This window comes from Homo sapiens, chromosome 16 (assembly GCF_000001405.40).
Source record: "Homo sapiens chromosome 16, GRCh38.p14 Primary Assembly".
In the NCBI taxonomy this organism is placed as follows: Eukaryota; Metazoa; Chordata; class Mammalia; order Primates; family Hominidae; genus Homo; species Homo sapiens.
The window spans coordinates 74,719,632-74,744,048 of NC_000016.10; the positions used below are offsets into that span (position 1 = coordinate 74,719,632).

The following is a 24,417-nucleotide window of genomic DNA, read 5'->3' on the forward strand; positions in this document are numbered from 1 at the left end:
GGCTCAAGCGATCCTTCCACCTCAGCTTCTCAAGTAGCTGGGACCACAGGTGCATGCCACCGCACCCAGCTAATTTTAAATTTATTTTTTATTTTTATTTTTTTTGTAGAGACGAGATCTTGCTATGTTGCCCAGGCTGGTCTCAAACTCCCAGACTCAAGCAATTCTCTCGCCTTGGCCTCCCAAAGTGCTGAGATAACAGAAGGGAGCCACTGTGCCTGGCCTCCAGGGTGTTAATGATGGGAAGTGTGACCCACCAGGGACCATGGGGCAGGAAGGACAAGAAAAAACAAGCACCGAGATCTCAACAGACAAGACCTGAAATCATAGCACAGGAGGAAGATGTGAAAACACTGAAGATGATCAGCCTAGGTGGAGAGGAGAAGACTGGAGACAGGGCACCATCTTCAAGCACATGCTTCCCACCACCCTCCGGAGACAGCCTGCAGTCCTAGCGGCTTTCAGCTCTTTCCTCCACCTCATTCATTCTTTGACCTCATGGAGATTTCAGCTCTCATTCCTGTTTGCTCCATATATTCATCCTCATCCTTTTTTTTTTTTTTTTTTTTTTTTTTTTTTTGTGAGATAGAGTCTTGCTCTGTTGCCTAGGCTGGAGTGCAGTGGTGTGATCTCAGCTCACTGCAACCTCCACCTCCCGGGTTCAAGTGATTCTCCTGCCTCAGTCTCCTGAGTAGCCGGGATTACAGGTGTGTGCCACCACACCTGGCTAATTTTTATATTTTTAGTAGAGAGGGGGTTTCACCATATTATCCAGGCTGGTCTTGAAATCCTGACCTCAAGTGATCTGCCCTCCTCAGCCTCCCAAAGTGCTGGGATTACAGATATGAGCCACCGTGCCCAGCCCATCCTCATCCTCTTATCTTTGTTTCTTTTCTCTACAAACCATAGCTTTGGCCATATCTTCTCTCTTCTTAACGGCTTTATCTAAATCTAATTCACATCCATATAATTCATCCAAATAAAATATATAATTCAGTGCTTTTTAGTACACTCACAAAGTTGTTAAACCGTCACCCCAGTCAATTTTACAACATTTTTATCACTTCCCCGCCAAGCCCCTGTACCCATTAGCAGCCACTCCCCATTTCTTCTCAGACCCTCCCAACCCTAGGAAGCTACAGGTCTACTTCCTCTTTGTTGGATTTGCCTATTCTGGACATTTCACGTCAATTGAATCATATGACATATGGTCTTTTATGACCGGCTTCTCTTACCGAATATGTTCAACATTCACCCATGTTGTAACATGTATTACAACTCCATTCCTTTTTAAGACTGAATGATATTCAAACTTTATTCATCCATCCATCAGTTGAGGGACACCTGGGCTGTTTGTAGCTCTTGGCTATTGTGAATAGTGCTGCTATGCACATTCGTGTAGAGGTTTCAGTGTGAAAAGATGTTGTCCTTTCTCTTGGGTACAAGCCCAGGAGTGGTACTGTTGGTTCATATCATAACTCTATGTTTAACCTTTTGAAGAATAGCCAGACTGTTTTCCAAAGCTAGCCATTCTCTCTCTCTTTTTTTTTTGTGAGGCAGAGTTTCGCTCTTGTCACCCAGGCTGGAGTGCAATGGGACGATCTCGGCTCACTGCAGCCTCCACCTCACGGGTTCAAGTGATTCTCCTGCCTCAGCCTCCCGGGTAGCTGGGATTATAGGTGTGCGCCACCATGCCCAACTAATTTTTGTATTTTTAGTAGAGACAGAGTTTCAACATGTTGGTCAGGCTGGTCTTGAGCTCCTGACCTCAAATGATCCACCCACCTTGGCCTCCCAAAGGGCTGGGATTACAGGAGTGAGCCATCATGCTTGGCCTAGCCGTTCTCTTTTAACCCTTACTCCATCTCCCTCACCTGCACCCATGAACCCTCACCCCTGGGTCAGCGCAGGAACCTGCCTTTGTACCCCATACCCAAGCTGCTGAGCATGGAGACTCACACAGCTGTGGGTCTGGCACCTTTAACCTCTGCAAGACCCTAGACACAGCCTGATGGATGATCCCTGTGCATCTTCAAGTTCAGCTCCCTCCCCACTGCCCTTGAACACGCTCTACTCCCCTTTACTGCCTCTCCTTCCACCCAGCTTCCTACTTCACAGAGAAGAGAGGCCCTGGGGTTGGGGAGGAACTATCCCCTCCACATACTTCCCCCAACTTCCAAGCACACCACATTCTGCCGGTACCCTGGCGCATCCTCCTTGCTTCTCAGGGAAGAGGTGTGCACCGGCACGCGGGCGCTGGATGATCAGAGCAACAGTAACGGCAGATGTGTCCTGACTGATTCCTGTGTGCCAGGCACCGCCCAAGGGCCTTCCATGGATTACTTCCTATTTCATCTCACCACAGCCTTACAAGGGAAGCCCTGCATTGCCTGCATGATTGAGGACGTGGAGGCCCAAAGTCCATGACTTGCCAGGCTCCCCCTGCTCGGCAGTGCAAAGCCCTCAGCCGCCTCCTCCCACCCTCCCTCCCAAGGGACTCCTCTGGGCTCCTTCAGTCTCTCCTTTTCTCCTGGCTCTTCTGCTCATCTTTCTGAGGTAGGCAAGACTTTCCCATCATGGACTCAGCCCCTTCATCATCAAGGCTCCTAAAAAGTCAGGCTAGGCTGAACATGGGGGCTCATGCCTGTAATCCCAGCACTTTGAGAGGCTGAGGTGGGAGGATCGTTTGAGCCCAGGAGTTTGAGGCCAGCCTGGGCAACACAGTGAGACCCCGCCTCAACAAAAAGTAAAAAAATTAGCTGGGCATGGTGGCTCATGCCTATAGTCCCAGCTACTGAGGAGGCTGAGGCAGGGGGATCACTTGAGCCCAGCAGTTCAAGCCTGCAGTGAGCTGTGATTGCACCATTGCACTCCAGCCTGGATGACAGAGCAAGACCCTGTCTCAAAAAGAAAAAAAGAAAAGAAAACGTAGGTTGGACTCATGGCTCCACTTTGCCACTTCCCATTGGCTTGTCAAGTCCTTAAAAATCTGTCTTCTGGGCCGGATGCAGTGGCTCATGCCTGTAATTGCAGCACTTTGGGAGGCTGAGGTGGGCGGATCAGCTGAGGTCAGGAGTTCGAGACCAGCCTGACCAACATGGAGAAACTTCCGTCTCTAAAAATACAAAAATTAGCCGGTCATGGTGGTGCATGCCTGTAATCCCAGTTACCTGGGAGGCTGAGGCAGGAGAATCGCTTGAACCCGAGAGGCAGAGGTTGTGGTGAGCCAAGATCGTGCCATTGCACTCCAGCATGGGCAATAAGAGTGAAACTCCATCTCAAAAAAAAAAAAAAAAAAAAAAATCTGTCTTCTGCCCCAAACCACCAGAACTTCAAAGGCTATTCATGATGTCTTTCTTGCCAAATCTAAGCATATTTTTTAGTCCACCTCTAAGCTGGCTGTGGCATATGACATTAGCTCTACTCTCTTCTTCAATCTGCAGCTGCCTAGGCGTTTAACCTGAGGCTTATGAATATCCGAGGGTACTACGTTGGATTGCAGAGTGTCTGTGAACTTGCTAATATATCAAATTGTACACCTATGGGCATTTTTTCTCTGTACTGTGTCCACAGTTTCTCAAATTCTCAAAGGATCCGGGAGCAATAAGGTTGGAATCCATAGCTCCCCCTTCTGCCTGCCGCCACACTTGGCTTTTCTCCTCTTCCCTGGATCTCCCTGCTCAGGCTCCATCTTGGAAACTCTGCCCTTTGTCCCCAGGGTCCAAACCTGGACCCTCTGCCTCTCAGCTCAATCCCTTCCTCTCCCACATGCTGACGACCGAAGCTCTACACCAACTCCACCCTGGGTGGCCACGCCCTACTGGACAGCTCCATGTGGTTGTCCACAGTCCCCACCGTGAACACCTCCCAAATGAGGCCAACCGTCTTCCTCCTTCTTCCCGCCCACCTCCTCTTGGGTTTCCTTCCTGGGAGGCTGTGGTTACTGACATCCACATATTACCAAAGGAGTCAGGTTCAAGTGACCCCTCTCCCATGGAGTCTTAGCTGGGCTGGTCTGGTTGGTGAGAGACCCTGCTTCCAGAGAAACCCTGATACCTCTGGGGTCCATAAGGTCATTCCGGTGAAGTGCAGAGAGCACAGGCATTGGATTTGCAGACCTGGATTCAAATCCTGGCTCAGCACCGCCTAGGTGTTACAGTTTCCTCAGGGAAACACCCTACCCATCTTGGAGGGGTGTAGTTAGGATGGAGGTAACAGAGTATCTGATTATATGATGAGTATATACATTGTATTATATAATAATATTAATATTATATTTTCTTTTTTTGAGACGGAATCTCACTCTGTCATCCAGGCTAGAGTGCAGTGGCATGATCCTGGCTCACTGCAACCTCTGCCTCCTGGGTTCAAACGATTCTCCTGCCTCAGCCTTCCAAGTAGCTGAGATTACAGGCACACACCATCATGCCTGGCTAATTTTTATATTTTTAGTAGAGACTGGGTTTCACCATGTTGGCCAGGCTGGTCTCAAACTCCTGACCTCAGGTGATCCACCCACCTCGGCCTCCCAAAGTGCTGGGATTACAGGCGTGAGCCACCGTGCCTGGCCTTAGCTCTCTTGTTGGTAAGGAAAGGACTGGACGTACGGGAGCACTCTCCGGCGCAGACTAAGGTCCTGGCCTCTGCCGGGCCCCGCACACCACCCCACTGGAAGCCTGCCTCCCCTCCTCTCAGGGATGCCACTCGCTCTAACGTGCTCTCAGAAGCTGCTCTGGAGCCATCCTGAGTATGCAGCGCCGCCCCCTTTCCCCCGTCTCCTCAGCTTTTGAAAGCATTTTCATGTGCGCATCTAGGAATGTCAGCCTTGAACTGGTGTCTGCGTTCAGCTTCCACTGCTTCTTGGCACCCTGACTCTTCTGTATTGATTCCAGTGCGTCCTTTGTCCAGCAGCTGCACTAGGATCCCGCCGAGTCTCCCCTTGCCTTGCTTTGTGGGCTCTTATTTTCTCTGCCTGTGGCTTGTGCCTTGCATGACAAGCTGGGGGCTGAGGGAGGCACGTGGAGACGTTATCTCTCATGCCCCCATCACTGGCATCATGGTCACAGGCTTACTAACCCTCTACACTGGACCTTTATAAGACAGGCACATTTTAGCTCTCTGCCAAGGCCGTGTGGCTGATAGAGCCCTCAAATCATCCTCCCTGCCATGCAGGAAAGACCTCTCCTATAGGTCAAGCCTCTGCCCGCCCCCTCACCCCAGCATCACCCCTGTCTGCCCATCCGGCCGGAGCTGGTACTGAGTGGCATCTCTGGAGGAATCCGGCGGAGGGACCTGGGCCAAAGCTTCAGCATCCCCTTCCCCCTCCGGCTGCCAGCCCTGGCGGCCCTGCCACTGTTTGTGATTGTTAGGGGAGTGCCGGGCGGACAGTGGGTGATTCAGCGAGCAGGCCTTCTGAGCAACAAGCTCCGTGCTGTGCCTGAGCTATTCAGCGTGAGCAGAACAGGGCAACCATGGCTCGAGGGATGCCTGCAGTAACCCTCGGTGACCGGGAGGAGCTCTGGGCTGGATTTGGGGGAACTTCCTGCAGCTCGCTCACCAGACTCATCCTGGGTCAGGTGGATAAATGAAGTTCCTGATGCCGTGACCATGGCCCCTCTCATGTCAACCATTCAGGCACTTGACTTGCAGAGTGCAGGGAAAAGAGCTTCCCCTGGCAGAGTGAGGGCAGCTCAGGAAGCTCAGAGCCAGGACAGACAGACCACAGGGCAGGTGGCATGTACCTGGAGGCCCAAGGTAGGCAAGATGCTTGTGGGGCTGGCTGTCCCAGCGGCTATACTTAAACCCACAGTCATCCTAAACCCCAGTCTCATAGGCTCTTTAGACACTGCCCCATATCAGCCTGTCTTTTCATCCTCTGCCCCCCAGCTAGAAGCTGGGGCGCACCTGGTATCCACATCCTAGCCACACGCCTTTCAGCTACTCCCTTGATATCTCTGAGGCTCCATTTCCTCAGCTCTAAAAGGGGATAATGACAGGACCCTTCTTATGGGGCTGCTGGGAGGGGTAAATGAGGCGGTCCTGGGAGAACACGTGGCCCCGCACATGGCAAGTGTCCCATAGAGGTTAGTGGGCCATTACTCCCAGTCTGGGGGTCTGCTGCCTGAGCCTTTGCCTTGGACACACTCTAGGACACTCCCAGATCTTTCTCTCCCAAGTTCTCTGCTAATCTGTGCTGGGTTCATAGGCCAGTCCGAGTCTAGCTCTCAGCTGTGTCACCCGATGAAGTGATTTCATTTAGTTTCTTAGCAAAGAATCCCACATCATGTGTCTTTTGGTGTGACACTCAATGAGAGGCACTCAATCTCTCTCTCTCTCTTTTTTTATTGCTATGCCACCCGATGATTCCATTTAGTTTCTGCTGATGTGTTGTTGGGTTTTGTATCCATTTGGGGGGTAGATGGGAGTCAGACAAAATTCTTCTTTGGAAGACTATTTCTACAGAGAGGCTTCACCAAAAATGTCTGTGATGTAGTTTGGGGTTCTGTGCTCTCAGAAACTCTGGGCCAGGGAAAGCACTGAGGTCTCCTCCCTCTAGGATCCTCAGGGCAAGTCAGGAAAGAAACTGGCATTACCTGTTGTAAATGACGTGAAGAGTCGGACGTTGCCCTGGGCAAAGGTTCGGTAGTAGGACCAGCTGAGATACAGCACCAGGGGCACCCAGATGATGGGGACACTGTACCTGCAGGAAGGCCATCAGGGTGAGAGAGATACATGCACAGGAGCTTGACAGAGTACAGCTTTCTTTTTTTTTTTGAGACGGAGTTTCACTCTTGTTGCCCAGGCTGGAGTGCAATGGCGTGATTTCGGCTCACTGCAACCTCTGCCTCTGGGGTTCAAGTGACTCTTCTGCCTCAGCCTCCCAAGTAGCTGGGATTACAGGCATGTGCCACCACACCCAGCTAATTTTGTATTTTTAGTAGAGATGGGGTTTCACCATGTTGTCAGGCTGGTCTCGAACTCCTGACCTCAGGTGATCCACCCACCTTGGCCTCCCAAAGTGTTGGGATTACAGGCGTGAGCCACCATGCCCGGCAGGGTCCAGCTTTCTTAGAGACACATAACTCAACTGGATTGGGGACAAGATGACACCAAAGCATATGCAGAATGCCTATGGAGACCTGGGGTCAAAGGGACACTGGTACAGGGAGTGGGGAAGAGAAAAGAGGAGAGAGGCTGTGAGTCCATCTGCCTCCTGTCTCTGAGATGAGTTACTGGCAGAAAAGAACTGTGTCCCCAGGGCTACTGACTCTATGCAACTGGTCAGATGCTGACCTCTTGTGGCAGAGGAGCTAATTGCAGGCAAAATTGTTCCCATGCGCATCGTGGGCAAGAAACTCCTCATAAGAGTCTGGAATAGACCAGAGGTGGCATTCAATGTAGTTTCTGGCTACATGCTGGGTTGTGACCCACCCAGTGGACAAAACCATGCATAGGGATGAATTATTCCCATGGCATGTTCCTCCCTCCCTGACAGCTTTACAGCATAGACCTGGGCTCTGGGGAGGGACTCAATTGCCCCCTCCCTTTCCATATCTGATTGGCACCGTCAGAAGAGAGGGACAGCCTGCCACAGGCTCAGGGAAGAGCTCACCAGACAGTCTTAGAGAGGCCCTCAATGAGGTCTGAGTGGAAGAGGCGGATGGGCCTGGTCACCGGCTGGTGAACCCACTCATCGTACTTCTCTCCCAAGTGGCCCACCTGCCACAGGAGAGGCTTTCGCCAGTCCACCAGGTCCTGCAAGAGATGAAGCCAAGTGGACGTTTGATATTCACGTCTTCCCATATTCGTTCTCCCATTTCCTCGTTACAGCATCCCAATCCCCTGCTCCTACCTCAGCTCCTGTGATCTGTGTGGGGCCACCCACCCTCCTGCTTCAGTGATCAAGAACTGACCAAGCTGCTCATCCCAGCCCCCAGCCACAGCAATAGGATCCGGTAAAGGTTTGCGACCTAAGCTGGTGTGATGAGCCATCAGATGATCCCTCTTTCTGTTGGAGGTGCTAAATCGGCAGGGCATGAGCCTGGATTTACTAGCAGAGCCTGCCTGAAGATGCCACCAGCACAGAAGATGGCCAAACCAAGAGCTAGAGAGACAGAATCTCAGTGATGATATCTGAGCATCCAGATTCAGCCACATCTGAAGTTTAAAGTCTTGCTCAGGACTCTTGAGGTACAGGAGGTAATACATTTTGTATCAGGAATGAAGTGGGCTCTTTTCCCCAGGCTTCTTGGTGTTGGCCTGGGTAATTAATTCATTCAATCATTTATTCAGCAATTTATTTTTTATATATATATTTATTTCTATGCTAGGTGCTGGGAAGAATCAACAGGAATGAAAGAGGCCAACCTTGTTTCATGTAGCTTAGTGCTTACAGTTAGACTCGGAAGTCAGGCCTGGGTACAAATCCATTTGCCATTTACTGTGTGATTTCTGGAAAATTACTTAACCTCTCTGAGCCTCAGTTTCCCCAGCTATAAAATGGAAGTAATTGTTGGTTGCAGTAGCTCATGCCTGTAAACCCTGCATTTTGGGAGGCTGAGGCAGGATAACTGCTTGAGGCCAGTAGTTTGAGACCAGCCTGGGCAATAGTTCGAGACTCCGTCTCTTCAAAAATAAAAAAATAATAACGGTACCTGCATTAAGTGCTCAATGAGATGTGGCATGCCAAGCAGGATAGTTTAGTGGAGATACAAAGCAGGCTGAGATCCAGAGGCAGAATGGCTGGTACAAATGCCCGGGTCACGGTAGGCGAGGAGGGCTTTGCAGAGGATCTGGGTTTTGGTTTGGAGTTCATCAACATGGGGGATTTGACAAGGGGGAGAGAGGAAAGGATGACAGGGAGTGTGGGCACAGATGTAAAGTTGAATATGGTTGTGGCCTTTCTGGCACCTTAACAGTGCTCTGTGGGCAGCAGGAAAAAAGCTGCTGAAGGCTTAGATGATAGAACACCCTGTACCACATCCAGGAGTTGCTTATTCTCCAGGCCTGTTGTCTCCAAGGCAAGGATGTACGTGTACTCCATCGGTACTCACAGGCTAATCCCCAGAGGCAGGGAGAAAATATTAACGACCCTATTTCTATTGCTATTATTTCTATTTATTTGTGTTTGTAATATATTTATCTCTTTCTTTTTTTTTTTTTTTTTTTTTGAGACAGAGTCTCGTTCTGTCGCCAGGCTGGAGTGCAGTGGCATGATCTCAGCTCACTGCAACCTCCGCCTCCTGGGTTCAAGTGATTCTCCTGCCTCAGCCTCCTGAGTAGCTGGGACTACAGGCACGCACCACCACGCCCAGCTGATTTTTGTATTTTTAGTAGAGACGGGGTTTCATCATGTTGGCCAGGATGGTCTTGATTTTTTTTTTTTTTTTTTTTTTTTTGAGACAGAGTCTTGCTCTGTCACCAGGCTGGAGTGCAGTGGCACGATCTCAGCTCACTGCAACCTCCGCCTCCCGGGTTCAAGTGATTCCCCTGCCTCAGCCTCCCAAGTAGCTGGGATTACAGGCACATGCCACCTCGCCCGCTAATTTTTTGTATTTTAGTAGACAAGGGGTTTCACCATGTTGGCTAAGATAGTCTCAATCTCCCGATCCTCGTGATCTGCCCGCCTCGGCCTCCCAAAGTGCTGGGATTATGGGCGTAAGCCACCACACCCGGCCTCTTATTTGTTTTATTAAGAGGTGGGTCTTGCTGTGTTGCTCAGGCTGGACTTGAACTCCTGGGCTCAAGCGATCCTCCTGCCTCAGCCTCTTGGGTAGCTCAGACTACAGGAGCGTGCCACTACGCAGGCTTTATCTCACCTTTACACGGCATTTGAATGTTTTCTAATGCACAGACTGTGAGAGTACATTAACACATGCAAATACTTTAGAAATAATTTAAATGGACACATAATGGAGAGTGTGTGCAGAAAGTTTCACTCATAGGGATGCAAGCTCAGAAAAGTTTGCAGGTTTCAGCTCCAGGCAACTAGAAGCCCTTGAGGATTTCTGACAAGCCAGTGCTGGGTTAATCTGGACCGAATCCAGGAAAGAACAATGAACCTGGAGTCAGGGGAACACCATTAGAGCCTGGCTGTGCCTTTGACCAGCTGTGAGATCCTGGACGTGCATCTTTTCCTCCCGGAGCCCCTCAGTGCCCTCATCTGTGATGCTGGTGGGCCCCAATCTGCCACACACAATCGGAGTGAGGATGAGGGTGTCTCGGTGGATGCTCAGCCAATCTTCAGCACGGGGAGTCAGGCAGCCACTGCAGGTGGGAAGTAGGGGAACCACAGGCAGGGAGAGGAGGGGAGAGGAGCAAGGGCTGCACGTGGAAGAGCTTGCAAGCCTGGACGAAACAGCCATCAGTGATTCCAGAAACCTCCTTCCCCTGGCCCTGGCTGCAATCTCATCCTTGTACAGGCCTCTCCACCAAAGCCTGCAGCCACAGCGGGTCTTCCAGGAACTAGCCCTTACATGCCCCCCAGCTGCTCTGGAGGTGGAGCTGGTCTCGCCCATCACAGCCTGGGAGCAGGGGGGTGGGGGTCCTGGGAGCAAGCAGGCAAGGCCACTGGGTTTCTCTCTGTGCCTGTGACCAGGGTGAAGGGCCCAAAGGAAGCTGTGGCTTCTGCCATGTGAACTTGGCAGGTCCCAGGTACTGGCTGCCTTCCTGTGGCAGGGGTGGGGGTTGGGGGGTTCACTTCCTGCTTCTCAGGCTGGAAGATGATCCAAGTCAGCCTGGAGCTATCCCGCCCTGGCACTAACTAAATCAAGCAATCATCCAAACTCCACCTAGTCGCTGCTCCCTTCCTTACCCCAGTCTCCTTGACCTCAGCCCTTGAGTCTAGCAGCAAGTGGAGTCATTGGAAGTGTGCTGTCTCATTCCCTCCAGTCCTCTGCCCTAGGTCTGTAAACACACACACACACACACCCTGCACCACCACAACCGCTACCACCACCATCAGGAAAAAGAACTGGAGGAACCAGCTGGTGGCCTGTGTTTACACCTTATCTTGCGGCAGTCTGCAGAGCCCCACCTTAGAAGAAGTTGGGCCAGGGTCAAGGCGAGAATGTAAGGCTTTGTCCCAGCTACAGTAGCACTCAGAGCTAATCCCCATGGAGCCCTGGTTATGTGTCAAGCATGGTTCTAAACACCTGACACAGGTTCAGTCACTTGATCCTCGCCATACCCCTAACTAGGCGTGTATTCTAACTATTGTCATTTTGCAGTTGGGGAAACCGAGGCTGAGTAATCTGCCCAAGGTCGCCCAGTTATGTCTCCTTGATGAGTTGGCCCCTTTACCACTGGGAAAGAGCCATCTTGGGCCCTGGAAATACTCCTTCTCCCGAAGTCCGCTTGGGTATTAATAGAATCACACTGGTTTCCTGAAGCTTGCTGTGCGCAGGATCCCTGTTTTCCCATACTTTTACTTTCAACCTGTGTATGTCTTTACATTTAAGGTGCATCTCTTGCAGACAGAATATAGTTGGGTCTTCCTTTTTAATCTAGTCAGACAATCTCTGCCATTTTTTTTTTTTTTTTGAGAAGGAGTTTCACTCTTTTTGCCATCTCGGCTCATCGTAACCTCCGTCTCCTGGGTTCAAGCGATTCTCGCTGCCTCAGCCTCCTGAGTAGCTGGGATTATAGGCGCCCACCACCACGTCTGGCTTTTTTTTTTTTTTTTGTATTTTTAGTAGAGATGGGATTTCACCATGTTGGCCATGATGGTCTTGAACTCCTGACCTCAGGTGATTCTACCCGCTTCCACCTCCCAAAGTGCTGGGATTACAGGCATGAGCCACCACACCCGGCCATCTCTGCCTTTCAATTGAAGCATTAAATCTATTTACATTTAATGTTGGAGTAGGTCTCCTCTGGTTTTCTTTTCTCATTCTTTCCTTCTTTTTTTGAGACAGGGCTTGCTCTGTCACCCAAGTGGGAGTGCAGTGGCCCAATCTTGGCTCGCTACAGCCTTGACCTCTGAAGATCAAATAATCCTCCCGCCTCAGCCTTCTGAGTAGCTAGGACTACAGGTGGGCGCCACCACACATGGCTGCTATTTTCTATTTGTCTCCTCTGTTCTTCCTTTGTCTTGTTTGTATGAAATATTTAACAATATTCCATACTATCTCCTCTATTGACTTTTTAGCTATGCTTTTGGTATTTTCCTTGCAGTTGTTGCTGTAAAGATAATAATACACATCTGTAGCTTACGACCATCTCTCTCAAATGAATCCCCTGGTCCTTTCTTTTTCTTTTTGAGACAGGGACTTGCTCTGTTGCCCAAGTGAGAGTGCGGTGGCATGGCTGTGGCTCACTGCAGCACCAACCTCCTAAGCTCAAGCAATTCTCCCACCTCAGCTTCCCGAGTAGCTGGGACTATAGGCTCACGCCACCATGCCCAGCTAATTGTTTTTTGTTTGTTTGTTTGTTTTTAGAGACGAAGTATCACTATGTTGTGTAGGCTGGTCTCGAGCTCCTGGGCTCAAGTGATCCTCCCGCCTCAGCCTCCCAAAGTGCTGGGCTTATGAGCATGAGCCACTGTGCCTGGCCAGCGCCCCTGGTTTTTCTATGTCCCACTTTTGCATGTTACACATGACAGATACTGCTATCCTGTGATTCACTTGTGCACTTTACACAGACTGAGCGATCTTGAACTATGATCTTTTCCAGCTATAGCACAGGGATGTGGCCAGGGGGCCCCTCTCTCAGCCTAGCAGTGGTTTGGGCAAATTTTAATCTATTGATCTATTTTGTCTTTATTTTGTGAAGCAAGTAGAAAATGGCATAGGATTCTTTTTCTTTTTCTTTTTCTTTTTTTTTTAAGATTGAGTCTCACTCTGTCACCCAGGCTGGAGTGCAGTGGTGTGATCTCGGCTCACTGCAACCTCCACTTCTCCGGTTGAAGTGATTCTCCTGCCTCAGCCTCCTGAGTAGCTGGGACTACAGGCATGCACCACCATGCCTGGCTAATTTTTTTGTATTATTAGTAGAGATGGGGTTTCACCATGTTGACCAGACTGGTCTTGAACTCCTGGCTTCAGGTGATCTTGCCTCGGCCTCCCAAAGTGCTGGGATTACAGGTGTGAACCACTGTCCCCAGCTGAAAATGGCATAGGATTCATACGTTGAATTCAGTTGAACCACAAGAAGAAATGTCTAGGTAAGCTATAAGCAGGGACTTCAGCCTAGATCTCACACCTGGATGTACAGGAAACAGAACAAAAGCACAGAACTGTCGTGGAAACCGGAGCTAGACCGTGGAAGATGTGTTTACAGGTGTGGTGGGAACAGAGCCCCAGCACAGGGGTCTGTCATTTGATGTCATTGGATTGACCTGATTTCAGTTACTCCCTGGGTAGACCCGCAAGCACTGCCACCTGTACACATGGTGGACTTGTGCTTGAGAGTCAGTCCCAAGCTGCCTCTTGCCTGTCTGGGGCCGTGGAGGGCCTCACACCCGAGCTCTGTATCTAGCCTACGCTGTGTCTCCACGAGGAAGCCCACCTGGGTGCCCAGGGAAGGTGCCCACTTCACTCTGGGGCTGAAGGACCACCCTGGAGGAATCCCAGGGAGGCCTCGCTCTCCCTTCTGTGAACACCCGCCTCAGTCATCAAAGGCCAACACCTATAGTTCTATGACTGGGGCCTCAGTCTCGCTATTCCAGGGGAAGCCCCGTGAGCCTTCCAGATAAGCACAGAAATTCAGGCCCGCCGACCCCCGACCCAATTTATAGATGAGGATATTGAGGCCTGAGAGGTCAAGCGGCTCTTGAGATAGGATTGGTTGGGCCTGAAGTGGAAGCCTCCCTCCCCCTTCCCCCAGCTTGTAGCAGCCTCCACACAGTTTCCCAAGAGCTGGGACTGGCACCCTGTGCACTTGACCTTGATTTAGGTGGTACATGCACTGATAGGGTGTCCTTTCTTAATCATCTTCCAGTCGTGAGCACTGAAGGAGAAAGGCTCAGCTGGGTGCTGAGAGGTTCCAGGCCTCTCACTTGCTGGTCGTTTCCAACATGGCAGTTGGCGGGACCGGGTTTTGAGATGGGAGGACAGCAGACGATGACGGCTTGGGATCCAATGAGATGGGAAGCGATGCAAGACACATTTCGCTTCCTGCTCTACCTGACCAAACAATTGCCTTAGCTCATTGCCATGGGGGTGGGCAGCGCTGCTGACACTGAGCAGCTGCCCCGTCCCCCGCCTGCCCCCGCTCACCACATTTGCCACCTTGGGGAGCAGATTCTGGACACACCCTTCCCCAGGAAAGCGTCCTATGCCACCTGGCCCTGTATTGCCTGGGAGGAGGGGTCCTGGGGAGGCAGAGGAGGAAAGCAGGGAAGGCCCCCTTCTACCTGGGCACCACGCCCTTCCACCCACCCTCTTCTACCTGACCGAAGACCCCTCTCCTACTCCCACCACATTAGTGGGTCTCTTCCTTCCAGCTCGTTCCTGGTCCGGGCCCCATTTACTTCTTATGTCCCAAGGCTCGGGGGACAGAGGGAAGGCATGGGTCTGTGGGCTATGTACGTGGCTCGGGTGGGGGAGAAGGGGAGATCAGGCCACACTGATGATGCCTCCACTTCCCAGGCATCTGGGGGCTCCCACGGCTCCCCCTACAGTAACAAGTCCCCTTTTACAGCAGTGGAACCCGACGCTAGAGAGGCATGTCCAGCACTCAGGGCCGTCCAGAGGAAGCTGGCCTGCATGGGCGACAGCACGGTTATGCCCGAAACTGCTCTGGAATGAGCAGCTCATTGGGGTGGAGGGATTTTTTGGTGATTCAAAGACCCGACCAACGGGCCGGGGCCCAGGAAGCAGATGCAAGGGGGAGTGGATTCGGCCAAAGCACCTTGTGCCGACTGTGTGGGGTCCATGCCCCTCCCCCAGCCTGCTCGGTCCCTGCCTTAGAGAGAAGGGGAGGGCTTCTCCCAGGCTATGCCAGGAATGTGGCCCACAGCAGCACGGCAGGGGGAAAGGGCAGCCTGCTGCCCAGAGGGTGGGCGGAAGGGCATGGTGCCCCGGTAGAAGGGGGCCTTCCCTGTTTTCCTCCTCCCCCTCCCCAGGACCCCTCCTCCTGGGCAGCACAGGGCCAGGTGGCATAGGACGCTTTCCTGGGGAAGGGTGTGCCCAGAATCTGCTTCTCCCTAAGGTGGCAAATGTGGTGAGCGGGGGCAGGCGGCGGGGGCAGGGTAGCTGCTCAGTGTCAGCAGCACTGCTCACCCCCACAGCGATGAGCTAAGGCAATTGTTTAAAGAAATGTCCACCCAAACTCAGGCATATTGCCCCAGGGCAGCTTTCTGAGCAGAGGTGGAGACAGGCTTCCAGGCAGCCGGGGCTGCGGGAGAGGAGTGGGGGCCGGTTGTCTGCAACCTGGTCGCTGGTCAGCTGGGGCTCAGGCCTCACATCCCCTATCCTTCATGAGCCTTAATTCTGGGAGTTGGGGCCGATGATGACCTCTTTTGACAGATGAGAAGACAGGGTCAGATGTTCGGCTGCATATGCTGTGGCAGGGCCTGGACTCGAGTGCCCCACTCACAGCCCAGGCTCGGCCAGGAGGCCTCCTGTCAGCCAGATTGGGATCCCATGGCTGTGACTTCCTCAGCACAACGGCTGTGATTCCTCACAGCCAGCAGCGGTCAGTGGGGGCAGTGAGGTGGGGCTCTTGGTGGCGTTGCCGGAGTGGCTGCAGGCCCGTCCTGCGCGGTCTAACTGGGACAAGCTGAAGTCCACAGAGGTGGTTCCGGATCACCTGCCTCCTCCCCCTGAGCCCTATGACCCTCCCGTCACCCAGGGGATGTGAGGACAGGGAGGTGGCCTCAGGCTCACCCCACGAGGATTCAGGCAGCGGAGAGTGGATAGGGAGCAAAAATGCCAGAGACACAGGGAGAGATGAAAGACAGCTTGAGCGCTGGCAGAAAGCAGGCATGACCTCTGCCCTTAGGGCTGAAGACGAGCGAAGGGAGCCTGCCCAGGGGCCCCACCCCAAAACCAGGTAGGGTGGTCTTTCCCTTGCAGCACACTTTCTGATATCCTTTAGTACATTCCACTAGATCCTCCAGATAATCCTACGCAATAATAAGATGCAGGGTTGCAATCCCAGCACCTTGGGAGGCCAAGGTGGGAGGATCACTGAGGCTGGGAGTTTGAGACCAGCCTGGACAACATAGCAAGACCCTATCTCTACAAAAAAATTTAAGAAAATTAGCCAGGCATGGTGGTATGCACCTGTAGTCCCAGCTAATTAGGAAGCTGAGGTGGGAGGATGGCTCAAGCCTGGGAGGTTGAGGCTGCAGTGAGCTGCAATCTTGCCACTGTACTCCAGCCTGGGTAACAGAGTGAGAACCTGTCTCTAAAAAAATAAAAAAGATAGAGGGAATAGCTTTCTGCATCATACTGGAACACTGTGGCATCTCTTGCCTCCCAGCCTGCCCTGTCCACTGCCCTCCCAGGGTGTCCTCTAAGACCCACGGAAGCAGAGGGCAGTGCCCAGCCCACCTGCCTGCTTTCTGCCTTGGGGTATTTTTTGAGCACCGCTGAGCTCCTCTGAAGAGGGGCCAGGAGCTCTGAGCAAGGAGGCAGGCAGAGAGGAGACTCAGGGACTCTAAGCCCAGTATGGACAGCCTTGGGGAGGCCCTTTGGATGTTGGGCCCTCCAGACCCCTACTCTGGCTGGGAGGGATTATAGAGAGAAAGGAGGCCCAAGGGGACCCAAGGCGACTAGGCAGGCAGGGTGCCTAGAGGAGAGCCAGGCCAGTGCCCACAGTGCCAAGGCTGGTCCCCCCGAGAGTGTGTTGGCCAAAAGGGCCCTTTCTCTGATCTGGATGCTATCTTCCTGAGTTCTCAGTGACTGATCTGGGGGTCCTAAATGGGCAAAACACTATGGCCAACTTCAATAGCCTTTCCAGGCCCTGGGGACCCTGGTGGTCTGTGTTATGTCAGGCAGGGGGCAGGGACAGGGAGTTTGGGGATGCCTGCTGGATGCGTCTATCTGTCCCTTGAGGGAAGAGGCTGATCACACCCATTGGCCAGCCCCAGCAGCTGGTTATGCCAGCATCTGGCTTAGCCTGAGGAAGGATGGGGAAGAGGATGTGGCTGGCTTGGGAGACACTGCTGGTATCTGCTCAGCCTCCTCCCTCCCTCTGCCACTCCCTCTCCTACTCACCGGCCTCAGGGTCTTATTCATGGTCAGCTGTTGGGGTGGGAAGGTTCCAGGACCTTGTGGAGGGGAGGGGCCGCTATCTGGGCTGCTAGTGTGCCCAGAGGTGACTTTGGGCGGGAGATTTAAGCTCTTCCTTATCAGTTAAATCAGGATAATTATAATCCTTATCCCTCGTGCTGTCAGCAGGATTAAAGCAGATAACCAATAATACATTGAAAGCGGCTGGCACACAGTGAGGGCTCAGTACAAGAGATGTGAATTCAGGGCTAACTCCGCTGCTGAGCATCTGGGCAGCGAACTTCTGCAAACCCCTCAAATCACACCTGTTCTTGCCCCCTCCCCAAAGGGAGGCTGGTCCCCCGGGTGGAAAGGGTGGAGAGGGCTCCCAAGGGAGGGCTCCGAAAAGGACATGGCGAAGTGGCAAAAAGAGGCTGCTGGACCAGGGGGACACGTGTGTCCAGGAGCTGAGAGTGGTGGGCAGCTCTGGCCACCTCACCTGGCTGTGTTCTAGAAACAGGGAGGGATGTGGAGGGTGAGAATCCACAACCTGGCTTCTTGTCCCATAAGGAAGCCTGGACCCTGCCTGGCTGGGTGACTGAAGGGATGATTTAGAAACTGTTCTGGTAAAATTCCACACAGAGCCCAAAAGTAAGACCATCCCTCACCTCTGAGCAGAGCGGGGCACCAGGGTTTGCTTCCTGGCCCTTCTTCCTGTCTTTTCAGATCCTTCTAACTCTGCCCTGGCTCCCCTGGCCTGTTGTCCTCTCACTCTTCCCAGCATTCTCACTCACCCCTTCTCACACACACCTTCCCACTCTGTCCCCACCTTCTAGGGCCAGGGAAACTGGGCCCCGGGAGGCCAGGACTCCAGTCTTTGGCAGCAATCACAGTACTGAGCTTGGAGGTAAAGCCAGAAGAGTTAACACCAGCAAGCCCTTCTGCCCCAGGGGCAGGTGTGCAAACCCACCCCAGGCCTGGGGACCCTCGGCTGAGACAAAGCTGCCACCTTCATGGCCTCTTTCCCAGCTCCTCCATGTCCCGATCCAAAAGACCTACCCCAGCCCCCGCTGCCTGGGTCAGCAACAGAGAGAGGGCTCAGGTTGGAGCACCGCGGGCTCCCCCAGCCTCTCTGTTCCCACTAACGGAGCTGGGATTGCCCGTGAGGTGAACGAGGCAGCAGCAGCACCCTTTTTTGGAAAGTCAAAAGTGAAAAGAAAAGAAAAAAGCAGAAAAGCACCCTCTGCCCTCCTGGGAAGCCCTGCTCCCTGTGCTGATTTTCTGGGGCGCTGAAGGGGTTCCCATGCACACCCGGGCAGGTGGGGGCTCCGTCCAGAGTAGGCCTCCACATCCTCCCAGGGCCCAGCCCTCGCCCTTCCGTCTCAGCCCAGAGACACAGGAGGAAGGGGAGGAAGAGTGAGTGTGTAGAGAGAGAATGAGAGAGAGGTGGGGAAGGTGAGTCAGGCTGCTTGGACAGCTGGCCCGGAGCCAGGCAGGGAGCAGTCCATGGGGGAGGAGGGGCCCCTCGTCCCCTTGGGTGTGGTCGTGGTGACAGCATAGGTGACGGTGGCACAGCCTGGGTTAATCCTCCCCTTGCCTCCTGCAGTGATGGGGCCGGGGTCAGCCCTGAACCACAGCTCGGGGAGACTGGGAGGAGCTGACCACAGAGCTGGCAATGTGGGCTGGATCTCCCGTCCCCAGCCAGCCTCAGACCCCAGCTCCTCCCTCCAGGACAGTTTTGTTCATGTCACATCACCCTGATGGCTGCCACATTTGTTCAGTCCCGGTCAGCTCTTTTCAGAATTCAAGCCCTAAGCCAAGCTCACAGATGCCTCTCTCTGCAGCTCCTTCCAGTACCATCCACTGGCCACTCAGGACAGGACCCTGAGCCAGGACACACTGTAGCTCACCCTTTGGTCCCCTCATCAGTCCCCAAACTCTCCCCATTCCCCTCCGATCTCCCCCTGTTCCAGACTGAGGTCCTGACCCTGCCAGTGCCCAGGGCCCAAGCTGGGGGTTGAGGTTCGGAAACCAGGTCCCAGCTCGCCGGCTGCATGGCCGGGCAGCCTTTCCTCTGGCTGGCCTCCATCTTGCCCTGGGTTCTGCACCTCTCAGGAGGGGACATGGCACAGCACAACTTCCTTCGGCCTCTCTGGTTGGATCCTGAGGCGTCTGTGCTGTGGGCGGATGGGTTCTCCCAGAGGCGGCTGTGATCTCATGCGACAGGTGGGATCTCTGTGTTCCCAGTGTCAGGGCCAAGGGGGCCCAGCAGACAGTCAGCTTTGTGGGGTCCCCACCCCACTCTGCTCACCTGTGTTCCTTGGGCGAGCATCCCATGCCACCTCCTGGGGTAATAACTCTTTATGGCGGTGGTGGGGAGGGGTTACTGTCCCCTGCACCAGGCTGTGAGCTCTCGCAGGGAGGGGCCTGTCCCATTTGTTTCTGTGTCTTTGAGGCCCAAACTAGGCAGAGGGCATGCAGGGTAGGGGTTTATGGACATGCACATTTGTGTCTGTTCCTAAGCTGGAAGGAAATGGCACCAAGCCCAGCTCCCTCCAGTGACCCCCTCCAGTGACCCCCTCCAGTGACCCCTCCAGGCAAAGCTGCTTCTCCCCTGCCGCTGAGTGACTCCTTTTCCACCGTGACCGCTCAGCTCCTCCAGGGCTCATCTCACCAGTCTATGGGGTCTGCTCAGCCATAGCAAGGCACTGGCCTCTTGATGCCAAAAGAGGCTTATCCTAAGACTGCAGGCATCTCTGACTCCTCCCAAACACGGAGGATGGCTTCAGCGCTGTCTCCTGCTGGACTCAGCAGTCTCCTGTGCCCTGCACTGGCCAATGTCGCTTCCACATGGCTGCAGGTGCCAGGGGCAGCTCTACCTTGTGCCCTGGTCAAAATGGGCATGTCTGGGCCTGCCAAGCCTGTCACAGCCCCTTCTCAGCTTCAGGGGTCCTGGCGGGAGAATTCTTCTTCTCCAGGGGTGTCTGGGATCTGGTTCCATGCTCAGAACTTGTCTGCTATTTTTCTGAACTTTCCACCAGTGAGGCACCCCCACACCCCTGCCGGAGTTTGCTGTCCCAGGTCATGCCTCTGGGCTGTGGACACCTGCTTCTCCTTCCCCTTCTCCCCTGGGCACACGTCATGCCCACTCCCAGCTTTGGCTCCACACACCCTCTTCCTCTCCTCATTCCCGCCAGCCCCCAGTCATCACCCCACTCCATCCTATGCCAGGTACCTTGTCCCAATCCACCACTTTGAACCGTGGTTCCATAGCAGGATCTGTCTTCTGAGTTTCCTCAAGGGCTACAGGCTCGTTCTCCATGGAGCCCTGGAAGGAGAAGATACAAGAGGATTATACACAGTGGGTGAGGGAAGAGGGCAGAGCCCCGAGCTGCCCCGAGAAGAGGCAGCCAGGAGTGGTGAGAGCCCCGTGGGTGGGGCAGGGTGGTGGAGATCAAGGACGCTGGGTACTTTGGAAAACAGAGAGACCCTGATGTGAGCATTGTTATTCTCTGTATTTTACATTTCCCTTAAAAAAATAATTTCCAGCCGGGCGCAGTGGCTCACACCTGTAATCCCAGCACTTTGGGAGGTCAAGATGGGTGGATCGCCCGAGGTCAGGAGTTTGAGACCAGCCTGGCCAACATGGTGAAAACCTGTCTCTACTAAAAATACAAAAAAAGTTTACCAGGCGTGGTGGTGCGCCCCTGTAATCCCAGCTACTCAGGAGGCTGAGGCAGAAGAATCGCTTGAACCCGGGAGGTAGAGGTTGCAGTGAGCCGAGATCCAGCCTGGCACTCCAGCCTGGACGACAGAGCAAGACTCCATCTCAAAATAATAATAATAATAATAATAATAATAATAATAATAATAATAATAATAAAATTTCTGCATAAATAAAAGAGGCAGAAAGATCTGGGAGAGGAAGTGAGCCAGTGGAGAGACTGCAGGGAAAGAAGCTTGCTTAGTGGGAGCCCTCCGGGAAAGGGGTCCCTGCCGGTTCTCCTTCAGGTCCCTGGCAGGTGCCAGGCAAAGGGAGTCCCAGGGTAGCGCCCAGGGCACCTGGTGGGGCTCACAGGGCCACACTGATGAGTCACAGGCTGTGGCTTCTAGGGCCACATACCCACAAGAAAGAAAGGCAGCAGGGAGCGAGGGAGGCTGTCCCTGCAGCAACACCCGAGTGCCAGTCAGCAGCCACACGTGGGGTGGGATTGGCAGAGCAGTGCCCAAGTGGGCTCAAGGTTAAATCGAACTCACAAAGAGGTAAAGTCAGAGGGAAACGGGATGTGCTGGGAAAAGCACACAGCCCCAGCCAGCTCTGACGTCACGGAGGGTGAGGCCAGAGACAGCAGGCTGGCACGTAAGTGAAACCCATGCTGCCCCGAAGGAGGGGCAGAGAGAGCGCTTGCCTTCTCTGTGTCCTTGTGACTGAAGGAAGCCATGGTGCTGGTGGCCATGGCAGGGAGCTGGAAGCTGGGCATTGGCCGGCGGCCAAGAGGCTACTGTCATGACTTGTACATTTTTGTTTCCAAACGGACCCAAGAGAACCTGATGGTGACAGTGACTATTTTGGCATTTTATGGGAAAACCCACACGTAACCCAAGTAAAAGTCGGCTTTTGTGGTCCTTTCTTAGTCTGTGTGTCTCAGCATATTTAGTCTGTATCATCAAGCTAATATCTGAATTTTTTTGTTTATTATTTTGAGACAGACTCTTGCTCTGTCACCCAGGCTGGGGTGCAACAGCCCATGCCACCTCTGTCTTCTGGGCCTAGGCCATCCTCCCACCTCAGCCTCCCAAGTAGCTGGGACTACAGGTGCACATGACCACACCCAGCTAATTTTTGTATTTTCAGTAGAGATGGGGTTTGGCCATGTTGCCCAGACTGGTCTTGAACTCCTGACCTCAGGTGATCTGCCCACCTCAGCCTCCCAAAGTGCTCGGATTACAGGTGTGAGCCACCGTGCTGGGCCAACACCTGATTAAATATATATATATATATATATATATATATATATATATGTGTGTGTGTGTGTGTGTGTGTGTGTGTATGTGTGTGTATGTGTGTATGTGTGTGTGTGTATGTGTGTGTGTGTGTATCATGCTGTCTTGAGTACAAAGAAGAGTAGATTTTATAGCACATCATACATGGAAATGCCTTAAATATCCAATATAAATGTCCTCCCTCTTCCCGTGACAGCAGCTCAATAATCCTGTTCCAATTCTGTTTAACCTCAAAATACTCCAGTGGTGTGATAGGTTCCAACAGGCAGGGACCTTGTGGATTTCTGTTTCCTGTTTCCAGACCCACGCCTAGCACGGGTCTTGCAAATACCAGATGCTCCACCCACATTTCCCCAGTGGGTCGTGTTTCAATGCTGGGTCTCTGCAAGCAGCCAACGTCTTCCAAGACTCCTGCCATGTGGTGGGCCTGGCTGTGGGGGCGAAGCCCTGAAGCTCTGCAGGACTCACACTCCTTGGGGATGTGAAACAAATGGAGTGGGTGCATCTGCCCACCCTGCCACGTGGTGGGGAAATACGGCTGTCTGCCTGAGGGGGTGGGCCAGGACACAAAACATGCATCTTGCACTCTGGGCTGGATAGGACAGTGCCCAGATAAAAGGATCAAAACTCCAACAACCTAGATCATAGATTCTCAGTGCCCTTCGGCCGAGTACATAGGACAGGCACGAGCAGAATGAAAAGTATATAAGACTGGTATGAGATTGCCAGCGTTTTATTTTGCCAAATAAAAATATTTCAAAGGCAGGCACGGTAGCCGATGCCTGCAATCCCAGCACTTTGGGAGGCTGAGGTGGGAGGATTGCTTAAGGCCAGGAGTTCGAGACCAGCCTGGGCAACAAAGCAAGACCCTGTCTCTATCAAAGAAAAAATAAAAAAGCCAGGTGTGGTGGTAGTGTGCGCTTGCAGTCCTAGCTACTCAGGAGGCTGAGGGAGGAGGATCATTTGAGCCCAGGAGGTTGAGGCTATGAGTGAGCTATGATTGTGCCACAGCACTCCAGCCTGGGCCACAGAGTAAGACCTTGTCTCAAAAAAAAATTTTTTTTTTAATTTACTATCAGCAACATTTCATAAACAAGAGGAAATTTCAATACCAAATATATAGGAAGTATGTGTTTTCAGGATAAAAGGCAGTTCTTTCCAAGGAAGGCAGTTGGCAACTTTATACTGACATTTACCAAAAAAGGTTCTATTTTATTATTTTTTAATTATTTTCTTTTTATAGATATAGGGTCTCTCACTATGTTGTCCAGTCTGGTCTTGAACTCCTGTGCTCAAGTGATCCTCCTGCCTCTGCCTCCCAAAGTGCTACGATTACTGGTGTGAGGCACCATGCCCGACCTCTATTTTACAGTATTTATGAATGCAGAACAATTACAACAACATTCTGTTTTTATGAGCATTAACTACACATAATTGTTCTTTTGGCTCAAGCTGGTTGATGTGGGGCTCGATGATCTATCTGTAACAGGAAGTAAATCAAATGTTCACCATGTCCTGGTTCTAAGGTTCTACTTCAAAAATTACAAAAATCCTGTTTCTTAGAGAGATGCTGGCTAAATAGAAACAGCACATTGAAAGCTTCATTCAACTGGAAGTATCCTGAGTGACATGAAGAAACCGGAGGAGTCCCTGCTCTGTGGATTTCTGTCCTGCTCCTGGGAGACAGGGGGAAGGGCAGTGGGTCATGCCTCGAGCGGCTCCATCCCCCGCACAGAGGGGCCAGGGATTCTCTCTCCAGAATTCCTCTGAATCATGGACCAGCACCAGTCAAGGGCTGGAAGAGGGGGCACCCTCTCTATGGAGGCTGAGGAAAAGAGGGACAAAGGGGAAGGGGGTCGGCATGGCCTCTTTCTATCCTCCTTCCTGCTTCTGCTCTCGGGTCCTAGGGCCACCCCAGGGAGCAATGTCAGGACTGATATGCTTCTGGCAAATAAGCCCCAGACTGACTAAGCAAGGTGCTTTCCTGGGTGGCTTCATTGGGACCACACCCCTCCTTGGCAGAAGCCCAGGTTCTTATCACAAGATGGGACACACCTCCAACATGGGAGGAGACTCCAAGGAAAACCAGAGCCAGCGTCACGCGGTGTCAGTAGCAGGAATACTCCTAGGTACAGGGACACGTCCTCCGGTGCATTGTTCATTAATCGATTTTCTCAAGTCTAGTTGTGAGATTCTAGGTCTAAAAACCCTCCCTACACACAGCTAAGACAAAGACCCTTCTGAAGAAGGTCTCCCA

General features: G+C 52.7%; 1 protein-coding gene across 3 annotated transcripts in view, besides 5 other annotated features; it reads right to left on the reverse strand.

The window, feature by feature from the left end:
- FA2H (fatty acid 2-hydroxylase) overlaps positions 1-24,417 on the reverse strand; it is a 61,852-nt gene that overhangs the window by 6,663 nt on the left and 30,772 nt on the right. For all 3 annotated transcript variants that reach the window (NM_024306.5, XM_011523319.3, XM_011523317.4), the window contains exons 2-4: positions 20,392-20,484; positions 7,613-7,755; positions 6,594-6,700 (exon numbers count right to left, since the gene is read on the reverse strand). In NM_024306.5, coding sequence (NP_077282.3) covers positions 6,594-6,700; positions 7,613-7,755; positions 20,392-20,484 — 343 coding nt within the window. The remainder of the gene's footprint in view (positions 1-6,593; positions 6,701-7,612; positions 7,756-20,391; positions 20,485-24,417) is intronic.
- Positions 962-1,131: an enhancer, noted in NCBI's record as "experimental_44395 CRE fragment used in MPRA reporter constructs". NCBI's record gives its function as "activates a minimal promoter by MPRAs in K562 erythroleukemia cells, with activity observed for the introgressed 16:74754576 variant allele {active_cell/tissue: K562}" and the evidence as "EXISTENCE:reporter gene assay evidence [ECO:0000049][PMID:34662402]".
- Positions 9,885-10,410: an enhancer, noted in NCBI's record as "H3K27ac-H3K4me1 hESC enhancer chr16:74763414-74763939 (GRCh37/hg19 assembly coordinates)". NCBI's record gives its function as "activates a minimal SCP1, AML or CMV promoter by ChIP-STARR-seq in primed H9 embryonic stem cells {active_cell/tissue: H9 hESC(primed)}" and the evidence as "EXISTENCE:reporter gene assay evidence [ECO:0000049][PMID:30033119]".
- Positions 10,411-10,935: an enhancer, noted in NCBI's record as "H3K27ac-H3K4me1 hESC enhancer chr16:74763940-74764464 (GRCh37/hg19 assembly coordinates)". NCBI's record gives its function as "activates a minimal SCP1, AML or CMV promoter by ChIP-STARR-seq in primed H9 embryonic stem cells {active_cell/tissue: H9 hESC(primed)}" and the evidence as "EXISTENCE:reporter gene assay evidence [ECO:0000049][PMID:30033119]".
- Positions 13,864-14,423: an enhancer, noted in NCBI's record as "H3K27ac-H3K4me1 hESC enhancer chr16:74767393-74767952 (GRCh37/hg19 assembly coordinates)". NCBI's record gives its function as "activates a minimal SCP1, AML or CMV promoter by ChIP-STARR-seq in naive H9 embryonic stem cells {active_cell/tissue: H9 hESC(naive)}" and the evidence as "EXISTENCE:reporter gene assay evidence [ECO:0000049][PMID:30033119]".
- Positions 17,666-18,373: an enhancer, noted in NCBI's record as "H3K4me1 hESC enhancer chr16:74771195-74771902 (GRCh37/hg19 assembly coordinates)". NCBI's record gives its function as "activates a minimal SCP1, AML or CMV promoter by ChIP-STARR-seq in naive H9 embryonic stem cells {active_cell/tissue: H9 hESC(naive)}" and the evidence as "EXISTENCE:reporter gene assay evidence [ECO:0000049][PMID:30033119]".